Source organism: Homo sapiens, chromosome 4 (genome assembly GCF_000001405.40).
Source record: "Homo sapiens chromosome 4, GRCh38.p14 Primary Assembly".
Classification (NCBI taxonomy): domain Eukaryota; kingdom Metazoa; phylum Chordata; class Mammalia; order Primates; family Hominidae; genus Homo; species Homo sapiens.
The window spans coordinates 183,856,364-183,881,260 of record NC_000004.12 but is presented as its reverse complement, the minus strand read 5'-3'; the positions used below and the strand labels follow the sequence as shown (position 1 = coordinate 183,881,260).

The 24,897-nt window shown below is 43.8% G+C and overlaps 1 protein-coding gene across 2 annotated transcripts in view, besides 2 other annotated features; it reads right to left on the bottom strand.

Annotated features, from left to right (window-relative positions):
* The window catches only part of STOX2 (storkhead box 2), a 225,509-nt gene that overhangs the window by 142,270 nt on the left and 58,342 nt on the right, over positions 1-24,897 (bottom strand). The gene's annotated exons all lie outside the window — the stretch shown is intronic.
* Positions 2,138-2,890: an enhancer, noted in NCBI's record as "NANOG-H3K4me1 hESC enhancer chr4:184799524-184800276 (GRCh37/hg19 assembly coordinates)". NCBI's record gives its function as "activates a minimal SCP1, AML or CMV promoter by ChIP-STARR-seq in naive H9 embryonic stem cells {active_cell/tissue: H9 hESC(naive)}" and the evidence as "EXISTENCE:reporter gene assay evidence [ECO:0000049][PMID:30033119]".
* Positions 18,588-19,089: an enhancer, noted in NCBI's record as "H3K4me1 hESC enhancer chr4:184783325-184783826 (GRCh37/hg19 assembly coordinates)". NCBI's record gives its function as "activates a minimal SCP1, AML or CMV promoter by ChIP-STARR-seq in naive H9 embryonic stem cells {active_cell/tissue: H9 hESC(naive)}" and the evidence as "EXISTENCE:reporter gene assay evidence [ECO:0000049][PMID:30033119]".

The window sequence follows — 24,897 nt, the reverse complement described above, 5'->3', positions numbered from 1 at the left end:
AAAGTGCTGGAATTATAGGTGTGAGCCACTGCACTCAGCCAGCCTTTTATTGTTCTCCACGACTGGGACTAAGATTTCCTCACCTCTTGATGGTGTGGCTGCACCTCTTTCCTAGACAATCTCTGAGCTTGCGAGTAACTTCAGCAGCCCTTGGGGAATTCAGAAAAGGCAATTTACTTCAGTCTCATTGAAGGCAGAAAGGCTCTTGAAGAGACCTGTACCACCCTACAGCTCTGTTGATTATATTTAGAGAATGTTTTCACTCTTCTTCCCACAGCCAATGAGACAGACGTTAACAGCTTCACACAATGGTCTAAATTTTAACTCTCCAACAATCACGTGTATTTCTTGAAAAAATTTCCTCCTTAGAGTCTGTACACAGGTGAAAAAAAAAATCCTGTTCAGAAGTAAGTTATCAAACAGGCAAAAATATTACCCCACAATGTTCTTTATCTGTCCAAGGTAAAATGCTAAAATTTCATGTTGGTTGTTCAAATTGTAAAATGAGAGGAAAACATCTAACAGAGACATTGTCAAGGCTTTCTGCTGTCTCTTTCACAAACTTTGCTGGCTCCATCTTTTTCTCTTCATCTCTCATTTTATCAGACGAAGGCCCCAAGTTAATTCTAACCTAAACATTTTAGTGCCATCTTTTCTGTTCTCCTAGTCTCCAAACATACTTTTTCTGGACATGTTGAATGTAGATGAAAAAATTATCTTTATCTCTGATCTGGCTGTGACATTCTCTTCTTAAAATTCTAACAGTAGCTTTCAATCAATCGTTCTGCAAAATTCACAGTTTTTCTCCTCCATGAAAAGACTTCTGGCTTGTTTGATCAGTTGGTTGGTTGGTTGATTGGTTTATACCTGGATACTTTAGAATCAAATCGTCTAATAACTGAAAAAGAAGACTTTTAAATCTGAAGATTTTTAAATCCATCTGCTCCTGCACTCACAGTATATGGATAAAGAAACTCAGCAGGGTACGGTGGCTCATGCCTGTAATCACAGCACTTTGGGAGGCCAAGGCGGGCGGATCACCTGAGGTCAGGAGTTCGAGACCAGCCTGGCCAACATACAGTGATACCCCGTCTCTACTTAAAAAAATACAAAAATTAGCTGGGCATGGTGGTGCATGCCTGTAGTCCCAGCTACTTGGGAAGCTGAGGTGGGAGAATCGCTTGAACCCGGGAAGCGGAGGTTGCAGTGAGCCAAGATCATGCAACTCTGGGCAACAGAGCGAGATTCCGTCTCTAAAAAAACAGAAAAAAGAAAAGAAACTGAGGCACCAAATTCCTTTCCTAAGGCTGTAGCTAGTTAGCAGCACCAAGTGGACTAGGCCCTAGGTCTCTGACTTCCGACGTGGTACGATTTGCACCATGTCGTACTATCGCCTCTCATTGCCATGCGCCATCCCCCCACGTTCTTCTCAAGTACACCCCACCCCTCTTCCCTGTATTTAGCATCCTGCTCCCATCCCCCAAGCCTCCTCCAAAGCTGGCCATAGACCCAACAGGTTCCCACTAACCCTTCCTTCCACTCATCAGCAGCAAATCAACTATGCCACTTGAGCCCCCTAAATCTGGGCTCCAGATTTCTCCAAGAAATTAATAGATGGAGTTGTCCGTGGAGAAATGGTGAAAGGTGCCACACCAACGCGAGGCATCTGACATTGCCAGGGACAGAAGAGATCATGGAGATGCGGCTCACTTAACTTACGGCTACACAAGCCTACCTGATGTTAGGGCCCATGAGAAGAGAAAGTCACTCACTGTATCCCAGCGCCCAGCCGCATTGTGAACTCGTGCGATGCACAAACACCCGAGAAACTATTCATTGCCGGAGCTCTGTGGTTTCCTCCAGAGTGAGGCCAGCATAGAGCCACCGTGTGCTTCTGTTTTTGCTCCGTGAGGACACTGCACAAATATGTCCATGCTTGATGTATGGGCCGAGAGCAGAAAGGCGTACAAGGGATGTGTGTAGGGCTCATGGAGGTGAAGAAGGATGAGATGGTGAGAGAGAGGGTGGCAGTGAGCCCGGGGACATGCCTTCGCGAGGCTGGCCTGAGGCTGCCTGGGGTCTCTACACATAATTCTCACCAACTCCTTCACCCCATACACACGTCTAATCTTCAAACACTAAAATAATAACAAACACAGATAATTTGGGAGAGATTTATGGCTCTTGATCTTTTACAGAAACAGGCTGTGGGCACATGAAATTGATCTGTAAGTGCCAAGTCCTTTCATTACTGTGGCTGTTCTTTTTTAATAACAGACACCATTGTGCAGATTTCAAAATAGTTTAGACCTAAAAAAAAAAAAAAACTATCCATGAGTAAAGAACAATTCTAGAGAGCAGAGCTTTCACTGTAAATCTTTAGGGAAAAGAAAAAGAAAACAAAATAGAAAAACTCAGCTCACCCCTTACGGGCCATCCTTTGTGCTCCTAATCTCAATACAAAGGTTAGGATTAAAAGCATTGGCATTAAAATAGCCTGCAGTTTCTGCTTTGAAGTCTAATGATGACAATAGCTAAAATCTTTGACAACTTTTGAGAAGGCAGAGTCCTTCAAAGTCCTTTGAAATGTTAAATACTAAATTGAAGAGGTCGTTATACAGAAAATTTTTTCATTAAAGGTGCACAATGAACATGCTTTTTAGATTCACACTCATTTGGTTTTCTTTCAACACCAAGATTGCATGTATGTTCTCAATTTGCTATTGTCTGTAATTCTAATTCCAAATCAAAATCAGGACCCAACTTGCTGGATTAAACCCAGAAAACGACTGTTAAAACAGAATAATTGGTCCTTATGAAGTGACAAATATTTCTTATTTTGTAGCTGCTTTTCCGTGGCCAAAACCACCAATGAAAGCTTAAGTAATAGCTGTTTCAAAAAACACCAAAAAACAAAACATAATGAATAAACTTGGAGCAGCATTACAAGGCCTGCATTTTAGTTTTTCTTATTCCTGGGAATTCTACAAATGGCACCTTTACCAGGCAGGTTCACTGAATCTAAAAATGTCTCCAGCAAGGGCAGGCCATGGCAGAGTTGTATAAATGAAGCTTGCACTGGACAAGCTCTTCTTAGATCTCCTGGGTGCAAATCACAGCTCTTTCCTCTCCTAGCAAGCAAGTGGCCTTGGATGGTTCCTCAAGCTTTCTGCAACTCAGTTTCCAGGTCTAAAAACTTCAAGTGATAATTCTTACCTCAAGATACTGTTGTCAGGGCTTAATAGGATAAATTATGTGAAAGTGTGGCATAAGCCAGGTACTGTGGCTCACACCTGTAATCCCAGCACTTTGGGAGGCCGAGGAAGGCAGATTACTTGGGGTCAAGAGTTCAAGACCAGCCTGGCCAACAGGGTGAGACCCCGTCTCTACTAAAAGTAAAAAGAAAAAAAAAATTAGTCAGGTGTGGTGGCAGGCACCTGTAGTCCCAGCTACTTGGGAGGCTGAGGCACGAGAATCACTTGAGCTCAGGAGGTAGAGGTTGCAGTAAGCCAAGATCGCCCCACTGTACTCCAGCCTGGGAGACAGAGCGAGATTCCTTCTCAAAAACACAGCAGCAGCAGCAGCAGCAGCGGAAGTGCGGCATGAGGCAGGTGCTTAAAATTCTTAATAAAGTTAATAACGCTTTATCCTCAACCAGAAACTCAAAGCTTCCATGCGTCCCACTCCACTGTGCAGAGCACGCATACAGAGCATGCAAAACGGCTCTGCAACAAAGTTACAGACCCTATTTTCTCCCTTGGTCAAAAGTAATCTCTATATGCTCTGATCCATTGATTCTTTTGGTCAGTGAATTAACCTGAAAACCAGATTCATGCTAACATACTGGCTGGTGTTCATGTTTCCCCTACTCCAAAACATTTTAGCATCATCTTTCTGGAAATGTTTGGGATCTGGTTAAAATGCAGATCCTGTAGGTCTGTGTGCGGACCCGAGATTCTTCATTTCTCTTGAGCTCAAAGGAGATGCTGACGTGCTGGTCCCCAGACCATACGCTTTGAGTAGCAGGACTTTAGTTCAGGGGATAGCAAGAATCAGAGACTCACAGAACTTAGAGCTAAAAGAGATTGTTTTTATCCCAAAGATGGAAGACTCAGCAAATTCTGCCCACATATAATTTTTTTAGTTTTGGTCCTCATCATATTTTTTGAAATTGGGTAAGTTTTACAGATTTATAGCATTAAAAAAACCCAAAAAACACAGTCTCATAGTATGGGCCTTTTTTCCTGAAGCCGAGTGGTGGCCCTATAGAGGGGCCACACATTCTCCAAGACCCTCCCCAACACAAAGACTGAACGGCACGGCCATGTTCCAGGATGCAGGAACTACTGTCAACCGTTCTCAGTCTAGAAAACGCTTCTCCATTCGCACTCACAATGGAACTCACAGGGCTTTGTGCACGTTTCAAGAAACGTCAGAATAGAATGCCCGCTTGGCCCACTTCACTGGTTTACATGACCTTCCTGGCAACCCCACTCGCTCTGCAGACAAGAAAGTGGGAGGCGCAGCCGTGAACGACTTGGCTCAGGCCACAGGGCTGGGCAGCAGAGAGGAGGGGAGGTGCTGGGTCCCCTACGGGACAATGAGAACTACTGACAGCTCAGCAGGCACCCTGAGCGGCTGCCTCCATACAGGTGGGGCCTCAGCACCTTTCAAACCACTGGCGCTGGCAACCTCTCCTTGCCATCCCGGCTCAACATGACTAACTACTTTCACTTTTAAAAACCTCCTTTCTGGTGCAGTTCCATGTCTGGTTATTAATACCATAAACAAGGAATACCAAGAAGCCTATCCGTCATCCACTTACGTCATCCACTTATCTGACCTCCTGGTCAGAGCCAACCAGGAGGCTGAGCCAAAGCTGGCATCTCCCCCAAAGGAAAGGAGCCCAGGCCTCCCGGGCCTGCTGCACACTCTCTGGAAAGCCATTACGCACAGCCTTTGCAGTCTGGGAGGCTGCCAAGAGCTTGGGACCTGGCCAAGTCAGGGGTAATGCATCAGACCGCCTGGGAGTCGCCCCTTGAAGTTCAAATTGTAGACAGTCTCTGTCAGAGAACTGTGTGGGCCAGACACAGGGTTCAGGTGTCTGCAAGACGCAGAGCTTGGGTCATCAAGAGATCTGCACCTCTTGGAGAACTCATGGGGATCAAGGTGAACATAGGCAACATGCACCTGCAACAATTCTAGCTGATATGGGGCCTCTGGTCAACAGTATCTAAAGTATTCATGTGGCCAGGTGCAGTGGCTCACACCTGTAATCCCAGCATTTTGGGAGGCTGAGGCAGGAGGATCACTCCTCCCTGGATGGACCTGAGCAACATAGTAAGACCCCATCTTTACAAATAAATTTTTAAAAAATTAGCCCAGCGTGGTGGCATGTATCTGTGGTCACAGCTGCTCGGGAAGCTGAGATGGGAGGATCGCTTGAGCCTGGGCGGTCAAGGCTGCAGTGGGCCACCATCATGGCACTTGACTCCTGCCTGTCTCCAATAATAGCAACAACAATAATGATAAAAGTACTCATGTGAGACTAAAACGAGCGGAGCTCATCCTCTCAAGACCCAGGTTTTAAGTATACCCTCCTCTTCCATCCTTCTTTGACAAAACACAGGCTGCCACTCAATTTTCTTAGAGGGCTTTGCAAAGGAGACACCAGCTACTGCTGCATGAAAGGAGGAGGCTGCAAAGCCCGCTCCACCAGGCCTCGGGCTCCCACACAGTGAGAGGGAGCCCTCCAGGGAACACAGTCCCGACTATCACAGGCTCCTCCATAAAATGGGAGGCTTCGCCTGGGGCAAACACAGACTCTCCCTAGAAAAGCCACTGGCCTCTGCGGAAGTGCTATCAATAAGGAACAGAAAACAAAACCACAATTGCCTCCTTCCCCTGCCCCATCTTCTAAAACCCCAGCCAAGGTATTCACCACCACCTACCATGAAAGCCTTGAGGAAGCGGAGGGAAGGGAGAGAAAGAAGGACTTTCCTTATTTTAAGAGAATAAAGACAAGAAGAGAAATTTAGAACTCAGTTTCTCCACAGTCCCCATCACCCTGTAATAATATGGGCATTGTTGGTGACTACTTGAGACAAATGTTGGTCAGGGAAAGAGGCAGCCCAGGGCCACTAAGTCTGCAGACAGTGGAAGGACAGGAGCTCTTGAGATGTATGTGACTCTGTTCTTGAGAAATCACAGAAACCAAAGCTATCCCACAACATGTAAACTTAATTCACACTGCAAAATTCTAAGTTTTATATATATATATATATATATATATATATATATATATATATTTTTTTTTTTTTTTTTTTTTTTTTTTTTTGAGGCGGAGTCTCGCCATCGCCCAGGCTGGAGTGCAGTGGCATGATCTTGGCTCACTGCAAGCTCCGCCTCCTGGGTTCACGCCATTCTCCTGCCTCAGCCTCCCGCGTAGCTGGGACTACAGGCGCCTGCCAGCTCGCCCGGCTAATTTTTTGTATTTTTACTAGAGACGGGGTTTCACCGTGTTAGCCAGGATGGTCTCGATCTCCTGACCTCGTGATCCGCCCGCCTCGGCCTCCCAAAGTGTTGGGATTACAGGCGTGAGCCACCGCGCCCGGCCAATATATATATATAGTCTCTGCATATATAAGTGCCCTGTTCTACAGATCAAGAACAAAAATGCTATTAGAAAGAGTTCTGTATAATTGCTTAGAATAATAAGTACATTTTAAAATACACAACAAAGGTAAAAGCTCATTAATAATCTTCAGTCCTCCTGAGACTCTGAGCTTTCCAGGAGTCAATCAAATATTGCAGTTGCTTAAAGAGAACCTCTGTAAACCTAAGGACTGTCCTCCTTCTCTAAAAGGGAGCAAATACAAAGAGACTTTCTTATTCAGTTATGACTGCAGGGAGGCTAGGGTTGAAGAAAATAATAAAACCCCCTGCACAACCAAAGAAAAATGGCATGCAAAAGGGTCACTTTTACCAAGGGATGAAGCCTTTCTCCCAGTGTCACTGATAAGAAAATATCCCAAATGGGGCTACAGCTCCAAAAGTGGGTTGGACACATCCGTGACATTTTTTTTTCTCCAAGTCTCTGCAATCTGTTTCTTGCCATCTGCTAAGATATTGGTACAACCACATCTGAGTCAGAATGCCCATCTCTTAGGAAAGCAGAATGATTGTCCGCTCGCCACTTACTTATGGGAGCCACAGGCCACACTGTCTCAGATATCCAGCCCATGTAGGGAAAAGGATGAGGTCTCATGAAACAGAAGGCAAGTACCCGGACCTCAGCTGAGCAGACCACAAGTCTGGAGGAAGCTCATCCACGCTCTCCAATTGGAGGTGTCGTTTCAGAGTCATGACAGAGCACTGGAGTTACAATCCTGGGGAAACCACCATTTCCATGGTGTGCAGCCCTGGCAGCTTTGTGTTTGTACAACTACAGCCCTGCCTTACTGTGGAGCTTCCCTGGGCAATTTTCAGGAGAAGCACACACATAATGGTGATGAAACTAATTATATGCCTGATTTAAGTAGCTTTCTTCCAAAGAACTCAAAGCATGTTCATGTGCATTGTCTCACTTCCCGGTTTCAACATACCCAAGAGACAGTAAAGGGAGGCATTACTATCCCACAATATCTATGGAAACAACCCCCAGCACAGTGCTCCAGGAGGAAGCTTGCATGCTGCGTGTGTTACTAGCACAGTCACCATTTAGTGCTTGTCAAGGCAGGCTCAGCACCTTCTGGAAACCTAGAATGCAACACCCAAAGAAATCAACCAATCCTCCCTTTTTTTTTTTTTTTTTTGAGACAGAGTTTTGCTCTTGTTGCCCAGGCTGGAGTGTGATGGTGCGATCTCAGCTCACCGCAACCTCCGCCTCCCAGATTCAAGCGATTCTCCTGCCTCAGCCTCCCGAGTAGCTGGGATTACAGGCATGTGCCAACACGCCTGGCTAATTTTGCATTTTAGTAGAGACGGCGTTTCTCCATGTTGGTCAGGCTGGTCTCGAACTCCCGACCTCAGGTGATCCGCCCACCTCGGCCTCCCAAAGTGCTGGGATTACAGGTGTAAACCACTGCGCCCAGCCCAATCCTCCCAATTTTTATATGTGCCCAACACAAAAATGCTTATAGACAGATCTGAACATACCAACAGGACATAACATGCAGGGAAAAGACTTAGACTGTCTTTGTATTAAAAATAAAGAGCCAGCTTCCAAAAAGTAAGTAACACTTTAAAAATCTGAGAAGTAACATTCACAGCTTATAGACAAGTTTCAGAACGTGACTTTCTGAAACGTTCTGTCTTATCATTGATTCCATGGCCTTCATGGTTTTTCAAACTTTCACTAAAAGCAAACAGCAGAACACAAAGATGACGGACTAATCTCATAGAGCAGATCTGAATTCCAAAGTGTCAGATACATGGACATTGCAGGGTGAGAAAACCCAGGATTAAAAAAAAAATAATAAGCAGATGGCCAATGAGTTAGGAGGACCAGAGCCATCAATTTACGTGGGTTTATCTTGTTTATTTACTCAGCTATTGGCCCAAAGCAGCACGCTTACCCTAGCAACAGCTATGTCATATGCTTCTGAGCTTGCCACACACCCGGCTTCTAATTTTAAAAACCACCACTTCACAATCTGCAAGAGGCCCCTTTTATGATCGATGTTAAATATGCTATTTCAAGTCTCTGACACATAGCCTTGATATTTCTGCCTTTATTTACATTTTTAAACACACTTGTGATTTTTTTTTAAATACATAAAAAGTTTGTACATATTCTGGAATCTGGCTATAATTCTTCCTTTAGAGTCTATGCAGCAATATAATCCTAAACTGAAGGTGTTTCGAATAAGGCAGTCATCTTGAACAAGGTCCAATGGTTCCACTTGGCCGGGCACAGTGGTTCACGTCTGTAATCCCAGCACTTTGGGAGGCCGAGGCAGGAGGATCACCTGAGGTCAGAAGTTCGAGACTAGCCCGGCCAACATGGTGAAACCCCGTCTCTACTAAAAACTACAAAAATTACCTGAGCATGATTGTGGGCGCCTGTAATCTCAGCTGTTCAGAAGGCTGAGGTAGGAGAATTGCTTGAACCCAGAGGCAGAGGTTGCAGTGAGCCAAGATTGCGCCACTATACTCCAACCTGGGCAACAGAGTGAGACTCTGTTTCAAAAAAAAAATGATTCCACTCGATGCCATGCTGTCTTGGCACAACTTATAGTTTATCCAGATGATAGGGTTTTTTTAATACCTGCAGCACTTCATATTAAGTTATTACATTAATATATGAGGCGCAAATTTTCATCCTTACAAAAGAAATTAAGTTGGATACATAAGATCCTCTATCTCTCTTACAAACCCATACTTCTGTAGTGAATTATAGCTGCATATTTTTTTTTTGGTATTGAATGTTTCATAAGAAGAGCTCACGGTCTGTCAGAGAAATTTTCCAAACGATCACTTATTACATAAGGAATTCATTTTTTCCCCTAAAAAGAACTGGGCCTGAGGTGGTAGTTACAAGGCAGAATAATCACAAGCAGATGTAAAAATACTTACACAAAGTAAAAAAATAATAATAAAATAAACTTCATATGTTTTGCTCCCTTAAAAAATATCAGATACAGTGAGCAGTGAGTTGGCCGCTGATTGTCATTAATTGCCATTATTATGTGCTGCTGAGGGCTCCTAATGGCACTATTTTTCTGAGCAATGGTTTTATATTATTTTTCTGGCACAAAAGCCTGTTCACAAATACCAGAATGTTCTCATACCAAAACTAAAGTGACTAGGAGATTAAAAGCAATTAGTGTAATTTTATCACTGGCATTAGTACTGAAAGCAGATCAGGATACCTGCTTTTCAAGGTTCAAAAACTTTTTCAAGTTGAGCAAGACTTGAAAACAGAGCAGGAAATGCCTACCAAAGGCATTCAAAGAAGAAAGACATTTGCTTCTGAAGGGCGGCCAAGGAGAGGACAAAGAATTCTTATTCCCTGAAGAGAGTCCACAGTAGTTAGAGAAAGACAGTTAACAAGGTGTGGGCACACCTGGAGAAGCAGGTCTCACTGCAAGGAATAAAGACTGTGCTCCCTGCAAGGATGGTATCTCCCTGTTAGATCCAGCCAGGAATGGCACCCACTCACCAGAATAACACTCACTGCAGTCTCGTATTAGTTAAAGCAAATAAGGCCATCTAAGAATAAAAAGGTCGTAAATAATTTTAGGCAGCCATCCAGTAAGCCACATATAACCAGTATCTTCATGATTTCTAGGCTTCTTAAGTTTAACTTTCAGGATAGAATCATATAAGATTTCAAGCAAGAACATTTTTACATTCAGTAGACTATGAATGTGGACTTGTTAATCTGAGAGAGAAGGAATCCTCTTAGAAAGTTCACTTTTATATTTTTAAGAACAACAAATGGGGTTCTTATACAGCATTTCCACGTTCAATATAGTAATTACTGAAATTCTTCTCCCCCATCAGTGCAACAACTGAAATTCATAACTATGTCTTTGAAAGACCATATAAAGACAAAGCAGCTATGAAAATCACCCAAAGAACATGTTTTAAATTTGAAGATTTTTATTACTAAGTATATTGTACTCTCATTCTTATAATAAATATTTTTATAAATTTTAAGTGAAAGAGCACACAGGTGCCCTAGACTTAAAATTTATAAACCACCATCATTTGTAGAATGCATTGTCCCAATAAACAATATTATAAAGGGCAACTCATGGTGTAGTTCAGAGTACAAAAAACCAACATAATCTCTAATGTAGGTGAAATGACTAAAAGTGCAAGGCTATTAATATACTACTGGTAGTTAAAATAGCTAAAAACCATAGTCATCTAAACTGTATTTGACGACCTAGAAAGAAATGGTTTTAGGGTTGAACAACGCTTTTCGTTACTACAAGCAGTCATTTACTCACAAATGAACTCTTAGAACACAAACACTTTTATACAAAACACAATCACATGTAGTGTTAAAAATGTCGCGCAAGTTCCCAAAGCCATTTTAATCATACTATGGCTCTGGTATTTTAGTACTGGTAGAGTATATAACAACATAACAGTTTGGAGATACTAGTATGAGACTATCACAGCTGCATATGGAATAAAATGGGCTTCATTTCATCGTAAGTACTGAAATGTATTCACTACTACTTACAACGATTTTTTTGCCCACGGAAGTATGAGTTCTGAGACATCCCAAATCAATCAGGCCATAAACAAATTTTGGGAAAGATACCTTGGCTGCTTTACGGCCTGCTTGTGAATCAGAAGCCCATTCCTTGGTCCCGCCCATTCCTTGGTCCCACCATAATTAAGCCCAGAATACAGTACAAAAAAGAAGCAAGAAAAAGCATCTCTGGGATTCCACTGATGACTGGGAAGGATTGTTTTTAAATAGCTTATCAATGTTTCCAAGTATATGGGAACTTCCAAAGAATGGTCTCGTACATAGCTTTAAATAGTCACTGATTGTTTCTACTTACACAGTTACAGAATCTCACAAAAGTAATTCTAGTCCAACTTTTGTCTAAATAATCACAAAATTTAGAATTAGTGAAGCCAAAATTAATAAAGGTAAATTCTGAGATGCCAAGCTAATAGTGTGATAAATGACTATTCTAAGTATTCTGAGAGTTGGGTCTAATTTCACCTTTATTGATTTAATCTAAGGAATGAAAACATTTTCTATTTTCAAGGCTGTGTAATCATCTGTTATACAGATATATTAATACAGATCACCTCAGATAATAAAAATATGACTTAGCAAGTTGAAAAGGTGATCCATTATAGCTTTTAACCTTTCACAGGATTCCCATGCTTATATTAAAAAAAGAGCTTTAAAAAAGCTGCTTCTACCCCTCAATTGATATGCACCACAGATATGGACATGGATTCTGAACAGCTCTCAATGACAGTCAGTTTCTAGGCCCATCGAACAATTCTGACAGCTTTATTAAGTGGTGGTTTGTATTTTCTTTATTGTCCATTTTCTTTCCTCGTCATGGAAAATTGTGTTATAAAGATAGCACGGCTTGCTTTCTTTTGTTTGTCAGGTATACTAAAAAGAGTCTACATCATACCATACTGGGAAGTTTTAATTTCACTATCCAGAACTTTCACACAGCAAATAAATACATAATCAGTGTTTATTATTTAAAGTTTCAGAAAATAATCTGAATCTCCCAGAGCTTCATTCTCATGTCTTACCATGAGGAGTAATATCAAAGTCAGAAGAATCTGGGGAAATCCTCAAAACACCAAATAAACCAAAAAGGTTCAAGGATATACTCACTGTATTGTATTAAAGACATATTTTTATCAAAAGAAAAGTGGGGAGTGACTTACCCTTTTTCTTTTTTAATAAAAGGGCTTACTCTTAACAGAAGGGTTTACTTTTAATAAACTAGAACATTCAGTTAAGCCGGACATCTTATTTCCACCCATTTGAGGTTTTGCTACGAGGAGCTATACACAGCTTGCTGCATTCCATGAAGTCTTGAATTCGAGTAAGACATGAGAATTGTTGCACTCAGGAGAAAAACTGAGCATCTAAATTTTTCCAGCCGTCAGGGTCACAGTGCTGCTATATTATGCCTCCTCGGGCTTAATCAGCTGTTCCTGGTTTCCCCAGACTTTTCAAGTCCACCTGAGCAACCTTCACTCAAGTCGGGACATTCGTCTTTGGGGCAGGTTCTGCCACCTCACCAGCATGCCCAGATGACCTGAGGAAGATCTAGGTAACTTCCATTATCCAACTCATACATAGAGAAACAATTTTTTTTTCTTTTTTAAAGAAACTGAGTCTCCATCTGTTGCCCAGGCTGAAGTGCAATGGCACAATCATAGCTCACTGCAGGCTCAACCTCCTGAGCTCAAGCAATCCTCCCTCCTCGGCCTCCCACAGTGCTGCGGTTACAGGTGTGAGCCACAGTGCTGGCCCTAGAAACAATGTAAAGAAATGGTTGTCCATGGCTCTCTGGTATTCTGGCCTCCTTTCTAAAAATGTCACTAAACTGTATTAGCAAAGTAGTTTCTATGATCCACTGAACTGCCATCTAAATGTTTTCCTAACATTTCTCCTCAGATGCCACCGAGAGGCTTCAGTCATGGCTTCAGAAAGGCTTTCAGGACAATTACAGACTTGCTGAGCAAGTGGTCAAGCCCCAGATCCAGAACACACTCTAATGTTCGAGAGGCATAGGTTGACACAACATGTTAACTTGCTTCTTTATTATGCAAATTTTACACTACAGGAATAAAAAAGCAGAGGGAAAATTCTGACTGTCCCCAGCAATCAGTTCTTCCTTCTTCTGCATCCCCTGAGCCATACCGGTGCTCTATTCTAGCTCTTGGCACTTGTAGTGAATTGCATTCCTGTCTGCTTCCCCCTTGGGGCTGTGAGGTACCTTTCAGGAGAAGCTACTCAACCTTTGTGTCTCTTGAGCCCAGCACAGAGCCTGGAGCAGCAAGGGAGCACGATTAATACTAATAGACTAAAAGTGATTGCACACGCCAAGAATTAACTATATGGGAAAAGAGCTAGGAAGGGAAATATACCCCGACTTATTAAAGGAAACTCCTTCTCAGGATGACAAACGATGGATAACCTCAGATCTCTGGCCTCATGTCCCACGGTAAAGCAGGATCATGGTGGGGTGGGCCACTGCTCCGAGTGACTATGACACTTTAATATGCTTTTAATGATGAAGGGACCAAGAACAAATGAAACACAGCATTCGCTGAAAGCTCATCTGGCAACGTTCCCTCAGCAGCCCTGTCCAGGAAACGTATCTGCTGTGTCCCGATCTTGGCCTTTCTCCTCGGGCTCTCGGCTTAAGAAGTGCCAGCCTTTCACCCTCTCTTCCATGTCATATTTTTGAAATCTCTGTTTATCCTCTGGGCAACCAGTCTCCCTAAGTTTTAAAGGTAATCTGGGAGTTTCAAAACCTTCTGAATTTTAGTAAAATTTCCTCAAGTGACAGCGGCAAATGGAGATGTAGAGAAAAACTATTTTCTAAACACTGGGTGTGCCCACATGGGTAATAGAGAGGGCGAACATGTCACCACCTTGATCCACTCTAAACTCTGTACAGTTGCTTATAGGCAGCTCTAGAGCCGAAACAACATGGTGATTGAAAGCTTGGACACAGATCCTTCCACATGTAAATAGTGCCCACTCATAGGGGGAAAAAAAAAAGAACTATAAACAAGAGATGACCTTTTTCTAATTTGTATCACGGAGTATCAAATGTGAGGGTAAATTGCTTCAACTTCTATTCATGTTGATTGACAAAATAAAATACATTGTTCTTTTTGTTTGTTTGTTTGTTTGTCTGTTTTGAGACAGGGTCTCCTTCTGTTACTCAGGCTGGAGTGTAGTGACCCAATTGCCACTCACTGCGGCCTCCAACTCCTGAGTTCAAGTGTTCCTCCCGTCTTGGCCTCCCAACGTGCTGGGACTACAGGCATAAGCCACTGCGCCTGGCACCTGTCTAGGAGCTCCAAAAACACAAAGTGTTGAAGTTTTAGAAACACTAACAAGAGGCTCTGAAACTTTAAGATAAAGAACAATGAAAGGAAAAGCAATGACATTCAATAATGCAAACACATCATTGCCGGGATCTGGCACAGTAATTCTCAGTAATTCTCATCTAACTGGGAGAATATAGTATATCCCAGCCCCTCCCCCTCCACCATCCTCTTCTTCATAAATCAGGCAAAATGCCTGATTAAAACAGATGGCTCTTAAATCAGATGCCCTGCAGCTCTGAAGGCTGAAGCATCCTACTCAGAACACCAGGAGAAACAGGATCTTAAGATGCCAGAACAGGTTCTCCATGGAGAACATTCTTTCCTCACTCATTATAATATGATTTCTTCAGGCTGCCAGTGAGAGAAACCGGGAGAGAAAGACCACTAGGAAAACCAGCAATTAGGGTTTTTGGCAAGGAAAGAACAGGCTCGGGGTGGGCTTATCTTCTTGAAATAAGCTGAGCACTGGATATAAGAGAAGGGGCAGAGGGGTGGCCACTTGAAGGGGGACAACAAGAGCTTAAGGCCCCTCCCTATATTATTCCTTCACCGCAAAGAATTAAAATTAACTTTGAAAACAATTGTTCATCAGCACGTGTATCTTTCTCCCCTTCACCTATGCTGTGGGTTTTCTCTGCTCCTCATACCCAGGTCTGCTGGGAGTCACCAAGATCATTAGATCCATGACAATCTCAGTGGAACCCTCATTTTATTCACCTGTGTCAACTCCGTCTTCCATTTTTCCTAAAGCCTAATCTTTATCACGCCACTCATCAGCTTAAACGTTGTTTTAATGGACTCACAATGCCTAAGTGGTTAAAAAGAAAAAAGCCTTCCAAAAAATGACCCCCAAATCAAATTCTGTCTTTGTCTCCACAAGACTTCTCCATGCAACCTACAACCAGGGTTTTCTTGCCTTCTAGCCTGTGTTCATGCCATTTCGTTCCCCTCCTTGCAACCTCCGTCACCTCCTCTTCCCCATCCAAACTCCTAATTCTGTCTTATTCTTTTAGCATAAATCACTACCTCCTCTTCAGTGAATTTTTTTCTTTACATCCCATAAATTCTTTCTATCTACGGTCCTGCAGACTCACCTGAAATTAGCCATCCTCATTCCTGTATCCTATAATGCTTTTTGATACTACTAACAAGGTCTTTTATTAAATTGTATTATAATACTTATCTCCCCAAACAGACCGTAAGCTCATTTAGAGAAAATACGGGCTTTTTATTCATAGATGCTGACACCCTCTATGTGCTTAATATGTTTGTGGCAGTTTCTATAGTAATTGTTCATGCCTTTTCTATAGTCTCTGCCTAACTCATGAACCAAAAGACAGGTAAAACAGCAATCCCACCCACCCCAGTCACTTTAAAACCGAGTATCTAAGAAGAGAGAGAATAAATAATCAGATTTCAAAACAAAATATAAACTATTTTTTTCATTCAATGGAGTTTGTGCTGTGTACAAAGCCTAACAAGGATTAAACACATGGGCACACAAATGCACATACAGGTGTGAGCCTCAAGTAGCAGAGACAGTACATATGTGATAAACCATAGGCAGCAAATATTCATAATACGGGCTAAGGCAGGGTACAGATGATAACAGCTCTAAGAGAGATTCTTTGTGGATTGTGATGGTCAGGAAGGTGTTCCCAGGGTAACTGGGATTTGGAGAACTGTGATCTTTCATACCGGAGCAGAAGAAAGAAAAGCATTTTAGATTTGCTGGGTAAGAATGGAGGAGAGAAAGAGAGTATCATAAGAAGAGATTTAAAAGTAGAGAAACCTGAAGTTTTTTGGGAAGATTATAAAACAATTAGTTTTGCTGGGACGGATAAGTGAAGTGGTAGTGGGACACATTGCTAGAGGAGTGGTTGAGGAAAATCCAAGTTGAGAGGTTTGGGTTTGATCTTACTTCAGCATCAATCCTACTTGGATTTGGATTGTTATCTACAAGGATATATATTTACATAAAAAGAGTCCATTTGGCCGGGCGCAGTGGCTCTTGTCTGTAATCCCAGCACGTTGGGAGGCAGAGGTGCATGGATCACTTGAGGTCAGGAGTTCGAGACCAGCCTGGCCAACATGGAGAAACCCCATCTCTACTAAAAATACAAAAATTAGCCAGGCATGGTGGTGGGCGCCTGTAATCCCAGCTACTCGGGAGGCTGAGGCAGAAGAATCACTTGAACCCAGGAGGTGGAGGTTGCAGTGAGCTGAGAGTGCACCACTGCACTCCAGCCTGGTGACAGAGTAAGACCCCATTTCAAAAATAAATAAATAAATAGTCCATTTATACATCACTTGTAATCATCTGCACCTGTTTTCATAGAGATTACTCTTCTTTTAGTTTTTTTAATCCAAAGTAGGATTTGCAGAATAACATTCCTGAAAGGGGCTGAGGTAGGCATTCAGGAGTTAAATAAGTCTGGAAAATAATAACTGTTTTATCTCCGTTCTGGAGAATAACAGTGCATGTTAGGATAGTAAAGGCATGAGAAGTCCTGCAGTAAACAGCCTCGTTTACCTCTGTATTTCCTCATATTTCAAAACTTTTTTTTCTGAGAACCTAGTTTGGGAAATGCAGAACTCTAGGCAATACAGACTATTAAAAAAAATAACATTCACATACTTTAAAGTGTGGACCACAGAGTTAAAATGAAGGAGGAAATACAGATGGAGCTGGAGCTGGAAAATGAAGAGAAATGAAGGTGCTAAGAGGTCTGAACATTCTGTTTCGAATTAAAGTCAACCAGACACTCTTCCACAAACTGCCAGAGCTCAGTGGTTCTGTGAACACCTATCAAAAACATTTCCTCCAAGTTCAGATACGGTTGTGTAAATCCCTAGGCAAGAGCAAACAAAAAAAATTAAAAGAATAATAATCTGTATGAAAACAGGTATAAATGGTTACAAGCAATCTAGAAATGGACTCTTTTCTATGTAAATATGTAGCCTTGTAGGTAGTAATCCAAAATCAAAGCCATGTGTGGTTTAGAACATTTATCTTTTAAACCAGATAAGACTGGTTCCTGCTTTGAGATCCTAGAGTCCCGAAGAACAAGCCAATCGTCACGCAATACTAATGGAAACACTATGAGTTCAAAGGGCAAATTAACATTCGTGTACAAAACAGGAGTGGATTTATGATTTTCAACACTTTGAATCTCCATTCATCCAGAGTCTTCATTCTACGCATATGGAAGTGCTTTACAAATGTTGTTTCTAATCCTTTCACACAGAGAAGACTTTCAGGCTCAGAAAATCCTTGAACTCTTTCAAGAGCTCATTTAGTAAACACTCTATAGCAGCTCTCTCAGCTGGCGTTTTCCAAGTGGCACCTCCAGAACTTGCATTCCTTGAGATGTCAATGGACATGGCATACAAAAGAGCTCCTATGGCCTGGTGTGGGGGGCACAGTTCATGGGTTTCCTTACTGCAGAGCTTCTCAGAGGCTTTACAGCGTTCCACATTGGGACTCTCCAGGGCTGGGAGGCACTGTGCTCCATGTCCACGTCACTCACCCAGGACCGCTTCTTTCATGAGTCCTGTACGCCACCGATGTTCTCAGATGACCTTGTGGGAGACACAAGGCTACCTGCTTCCTGCAGGAGTTGGCTTGTTTCTTAGGTCGGAAGATCCTGAACTACGATGACATGAGCAACCTAAACATCCCCAGTGAGATTGGTGGGCTCCCTGGTGTGGTAAAAGGAGTTCTGCAACAAGCCTTAGGCCCTCCCAGTGTCTGTCACCTCCTGTCTGACCGGAAATAACCACGCCTTCCTTGTAGGCCTCACGAGGTGGTAGTGACGGTCCAGGGAGGCCCTGTGTTTACAAGGAAACCACACTGTCCAAGTCCCACAGGGCACCGTTAGAGAGAGGTGGTGGGGCGCGATCCCTCCCTCTTCTGAGTTTCCTTGGTTTTTCTCAGGACACTAATTACCCTTGATCTTAAAACGCAATTTGCCCCCAAAGCCTGTATCGAGCCCTCAGGGTGTAAACCCTGCCGACTCTCGCATGGCTTCTTCTTGCCACTCAAATGCGTGCCAGCCTCTCCCGCCCAGGGGCCTCCCACTGCTCCCTCCCATGGACAGCTCCTCCCTGGGTCTTCCCATTGTCACTTCTTCAGAAGGGCCTTCCCTGGTCACCCTTGTAGAGGCACCCTCTGACAGCTGTCTTCTGGCCCATTCGGGTATTTTATTTTCCTCATAACACTTAACATTGGCTGGGCACAGTAGCTCATGCCTATAATCACAGCACTTTGGGAGGCCGAGGTAGGCAGTTCAAGACCAGCCTGGCCAACATGGTGAAACCCTGTCTCTACTCAAAATACAAAAATTAGCTAGGGGTGATGGCATGTGCCTGTAATCCCAGCTACTAGGGAGGCTGAGGCAGGAGAATCGCTTGTACCCAGGAGGCAGAGGTTGCAATGAGCCGAGATCGTGCCACTGCACTCCAGCCTGGGTGACAGAGTGAGACTCTGTCTCAAAAAACAAACAAACAAACAAACAACAACAACAAACACTTAACGTTATCTGAAATCCCCTCATTCTCATATGCTTTTGTTGTCTGGCTCCTGCCTCTGAAACCTAAGCTCCCTAGGGCAAGAACTGTGTGGTCTAGAGCCTGGGATCTAGGAAACCCTCACGAAGTATCTGTTGAGTGTTAGAAGTTTAGGAAAATGGCTACATTCGGTAAGAAGGGAAGGGGAAATCGTGTGGACGGGGAGGGATGAGGCTCCTGTGATCCTGTAATGTTCTAGTTACCACCTGGATGGTGGTTACGTGGGGCTTTGCACTTTGAATCATCCACTGAGCTGTAAATTAATATTTGGGCTCTTCCGGGTCCTAATTTAAACTAAAATAGTTGTTGGTATATTAGCGTTTAGATAATCATAAATATAGGAAAAATGATAACTGCTACTATTTTTGAGGACCCACAATGAGCCCTACGCCCTGCGAGGCACTTTACATATATTGTCGCATTGTGTCTTCCAAACATCCCTACCGGTAATCACCACAACCCATTTTACAGATGAAGAAGCTGCGGCGCCCAGGGACCAGGTGACTTGTTCACGGTCACACAGCTAAGATGCAAAACTGCAATCCCAAGCCAGTGTGTTCCAACTCCAAAATCCACACGATCTACAAAACCCTGCCTGAAAGTCGCTTCTCACGTCAGAACTGGTATTTTGAGGTGTCCTTGTCTCTCCCTAGAGGCTCTCGCAGGCTGAGAGGCTGAAAGCTCCCCGGTTCTCCCTCTTCCTGGGTATCTATGAACATTACAGTGCAACAAACTTCACCATGGCGGCAAACAGCAGCAATGGCCAGACAAAGACAGGGGCCCCACTGCAGCAGGGTGAGGACCCCCCCAAGGTAACGGGACAGTCCACTCCCACCTGGGGGTTTTGTTGAACCTCAGTGGTGGGGGGCAGCTCCTTCTGAGATCTAGGGGGTCCTGTCTGCTCCTGAATTTGAAATCTGACCAGGTTCTGTGTTTTTCTCCCTGTCATTTTGAACTTCTTTGGAAGAAACAGCACTTTTAGTTAGGAGCGATCTGGAGAGAAAGAAGTAGTGGGGAGAAAATGCACTTTGATAATTTTTTTCCCAAACAGCTACTTGCATGGTTGGATTAGTGTACCGTAACAACAACTGAAAAGGATTTGTTTCTCCAAATAAAGGGTCACCTTGGAGCGATTAGCATGGCTGCCAAAGCGTAATCCCTTTGCAAACAACTAATGGCGGCACTGACAAGTTCCTACAGGAAGATGCTTGGCAGGCGAGCACTGTGGGAAAGGCTGTCTTCCACCTACGGAAACTCGGATGGAAATGGAATCGTTTGCTTTTCCTTCCGTGTGTCTGAGAGATTCCCCCAGTGTTTTTCATACAGGGGGTTTTTCATAAAGGTGTCAGGCCCCATCAGAACTTTGATGACAGCCACAAACATTATCAAATAAATAAAAAGAACGGCCTTTTGTCTTACCTTTGAAGTTTCCTTAAGTTACTCTGAATAGCATCTCCCTCTGCCACGTTTCCTGTCTCTCGCATAATGAGATACTTTCTAATTAGCATATCACAAATATTCCTGATTTTCTTTACAAGTCCCGATACATTTTTAAGTGTTTCTTTTAAAGCATATCAGGATTTTTCACACTCTATAAAGAGGTAGGGGAATTCAAGCAATGTGTCAACTCAATTCTCCAATTTTTTCTTCTTTTTCTTCTTTTTTTTTTTTTTTTGTTTTTTGTTTTTTGTTTGTTTTGTTTTGTTTTAAGCCAGCTGGCAGCATGGAATAGTGGGAAGGTCACAGCACTGAAAGCCAGAAGTCCTGGATTGGGGTTTTGGCTGGGCCACTAATTAGCTACGTCATTTTAGGCAAATTGCTTCACTTTTGAGGGCCCGTTTCCTTTTCTGTATAATGATGAGGCTGGACCCAGTGAGAAGTCCCTCACAGTTTAAAGCACTATGTTCTATTTGTGAAGCTTAAATCATTCCTCATCTCCCTTTACAAAAACTGGAAGAAGTTATTTTCTTTGATTTAAAAATTCACAGTGAACTACATCCTAAATAGGTAGACATCGGTAAAAAAAAAAGAATATGATTTTAAAGGGACACAGATATTTAATTGCAGAATTATATATTATCTTTAAACAGCAAAGAGGCTTTTTGACTAGTTTTAATATACTAACAAATACATACACACACACACATTCTAATCTGCCAGGAAATTCTGTCAGTAAATATCTAATCTAATCTAATCTAATCTGTCAGTAAACGCAACTGACATGAACAAATCCTAATATACAGAATATTGTGACAAGGAAAATAAAGTCCTAGATATCAAAAGTCTTTCTAGTCTTTGGTATAATAGGAAAAAAAAATCCATTCAGTTCGGTAAGATCATTTGGATCATCCCAGTGACATGTGGGTTTCAGGATTTGACTTGTGATATCAAAATCATAAAAATACAGAAATTTATCTTGGTTTCAACAACAAGTTCCCTGCATGCAAGGGCCATGCTGGCCTTCTGTGCGTCACCATTTGCTTTGTCTCATCAAAACTGTCCTGTGGGTGGGTGGAGATGGCTCCGTAAGCCTGTTCATACCCTGGCCCCGCCGCCTCTGTCATGCCAAGCCACACCAACACCCACCATCTGGCCCCTGCCCTTCCCAGGCTGCCCACTGCCCCCAGTCCCCTCTGCCACCCCTGAAATGCCTGCTGTCATCCTCTTTGGTCACTGCCAGCTGAGCTCTGTAGGTGCCTGTCACAGGGCAAGACCAGCTCCAATGTCACCCGATGGACACCCTTTCTTCCTCCCCAGCGTCGTGATCTTGCCCTGTTGCATTTGTCTGTTTTCATGGCTGTATCTGCCCTACTGCGGTAGGAGCTGGAGTTCGGAGGCACTTTGGTCACCTCTTCAGTCCCAAGACCTGGCAGCATGTGACACCCTACAACACTGGGAAGAGGGAGAGAGAGAATGGGCCAGAGCAGGGGCACAGCGATGAGCAAGGCACCGTGGGATCCCAGGAACTGCCCCTCCTAATCCCAAGGTGTAGCCTATGACAGCCACCAAGCTTGGTCCAAATAATAGATCTTATTCAGAGGAGAGAAAGAATCCTGAAGACTGAGAAAGGCATAAAACCTTTCCTATAGAAGAGGAATGTGGGGCGGGTGGCAGAGGGCCATAGGAAGCTGCCTGTGCTTTTCAGCAGAAGGGCAGCAAGACCAATCAAGTGTGAGAATGACTTAGGGGCGGTGTGTACAGTACACTGAAATGACGTAGAGATGAAGGGGCAAATTGCTTCCAATAATTATACAGCCATGAAAAAAAAGTATTATATTTCTAGATCCAGAAAAGCAATCATAGAAGCTAAGTATAAAGAAGTCGACTACAAAACAATATAGATAACATAATCATGATTTGTAAGACATGTTTCACATTTGGATAGATGAGGATATTTTGATAGATACACGGGAAAAAGTCTAGAGGGATAACTATCACAGCTCAATAGGGACATTATCTGAATGGTGAAATGTGTGGTTTTCCCGTCCCTCCCTTCCTTCCTTCCTTCCTTCCTTCCTTCTTTCTCTTTTTCTCTATTTTCTAATTATTTTCCACCATGAACATGAACCACTTGGGTAACTTTTTTAAATCTCTGAGGAAGTAAATACCCCATCTATAAATACGAAACAGTGCACGAATGAGGCAGGGAGGCTCCGGCCGTGGGCAGAGGCAACAGGAATGGAAAGTCGGAAGCAGAGCTGAGCGCAACGACAGCAGAAGAGCTGCCGGGTGGGTGGCTGACTGGGTAAGGATCTGAAGGGAAACTAGAGCTGTAGTGGGACTCCCAGGCTTGCAGCCCGCACAGGGCGGGAGACGCAGGTCACAGTGTCAAGAATGGGCCAGCAGCAGGGCACTTAGCTTGGAGGAACAGATTGTGGGTTTCCCTGTGGAGCTGCTTTGTCTGAAGTGTGGATAGGTCATCCGGGAGGCGGAGGGGCAAGGGAGAGCTTAGGGATGGGGCTGTGCAGTGAGGTCAGGCATGGTGCCCCCTGAGGGTCCCCCAGGGAGCCTGCACTTCCCCAGGGGTTGCCCTTCCAGCTGTGCTGGGGAGGCCTATTTACTACCCGCTCCTCACTGTGGACTCCAGGAGGCAGGGACCCAGTTTTTGCCCTCATCCTTCTACTCCAATGCCTGGATCAGTTCCTGGGGTATAAAAGGCACTCGATAAATGTTTGAGAAGTGAATGACTGACTCCTGTAGGGAGAGAAGAGTGGATGAATTATCATTATCCCAGGGAGAGAACAGGGGGATGGGCAGGACTGAAACCTGGGGATACCCTCAGAGGCATGGGAGGGAGCTGTGCCGCCAACAGCATCGATGCAAACAAGGACAGAGCAGCTTTCCAGAAACCAAGGAAGGGGGGCTGCAAAGCAGACAGGGACACCAGCAGCACTGGGGCAGAGCTGGAGGAGAAAGAGACAGGGCTGGGGGGAAGGTTCCTCCATTCCACAGCTGCCCGGGATTCAGGAGGTGGGAAGGACCCCAGAGGTAAGGGGTAACAAGATAAAAGGAATGAAAGCAGAACATCTTTTAAGTTATGTGGAGAAGAGGAAAAATAAGTAGATTAAGAAGCTGAATCGGGCAGAACCTCAAATTCGGAGATGACCTGCACATGTCAGTATGTGGAAGGCTGGGAATCCAGGCAGCCGTGGCACTGCCTTCAATGGGATAACCAGTCCTGCAGGATGACCAGTCCTGTGGGATGACCAATCCTATGAGGCAACCAGTCCTGCGGGATAACCAGTCCTGCGGGATGACCAGTCCTACGAGGCAACCAGTCCTATGGGATAACCAGTACTGCAGGATAACCAGTCCTGTGGAATGACCAGTCCTGCAAGATGACCAGTCCTGCAGGATAACCAGTCCTGCGAGATGACCAGTCCTGTGGGATAACCAGTCCTGTGGGATGATGAGACCTGCAGGATGACCAGTCCTGTGGGATGACCAGACCTGCAGGATAACCAGTCCTGCGGGATAACCAGTTCTGCAGGATGACCAGTCCTGTGGGACAACCAGTCCTACAGGGCAACCAATCCTACCAGGCAGAAGGATTACCCTAGAGAAGGGAGAGGAAGGCTTGTTTGAACTTCCTGTCCTCCAAACCCCTCCAAACCCCTCCCAGCCTCTACCACACAATTTAATCTAATTATCCACTCATCTCCCTCCCTGCCTCTTCACATGTCCTCTCTCCTCAGTCAGATGCCACAGACCAAATCTCCAGGACTTTCCAAAGTAAATTCTCAATAAGACTTGGTAGCTGACTGTTTTGGTCCCATAGGGTAAGTGTCAAAAAAAATAAAGCTACACACATTAATATATATGCAGTAACTATTAAACAGACACTACTGAAAAAAGACTATTTTTAAAGTAGCACTTTCACATCTCCCTTCCCTTCTTCTGTAACAACAAAACACCCCATTATTCTTGGGCAAGGGAGCTATCATCCCCCGGGGTCCGAGTCCGAGACAGCTAACTGCAAAGCGATGTTCACATGAACCACCCTACCATTAGCTGCAGTCAGCCAGGGGCAGGTGGCTGAGAGCAGGGACGGCTTTTAGACAAGGCTTTGGAAGGCAGATCCCTGAACTGCCCTTCAGTTTGGATGGAGACTGCTGAGGGAAGGTGGAAATAACAGAATTAATACCCTCACCTGTCAAATACGAGGTTAGCAAGTAAGTTGAATCACACACTACTTTAAGTGTTTAATGCTGAAAACTACTCATCCGAGTGTTCACTTTGCAACTGTTTGTGCGT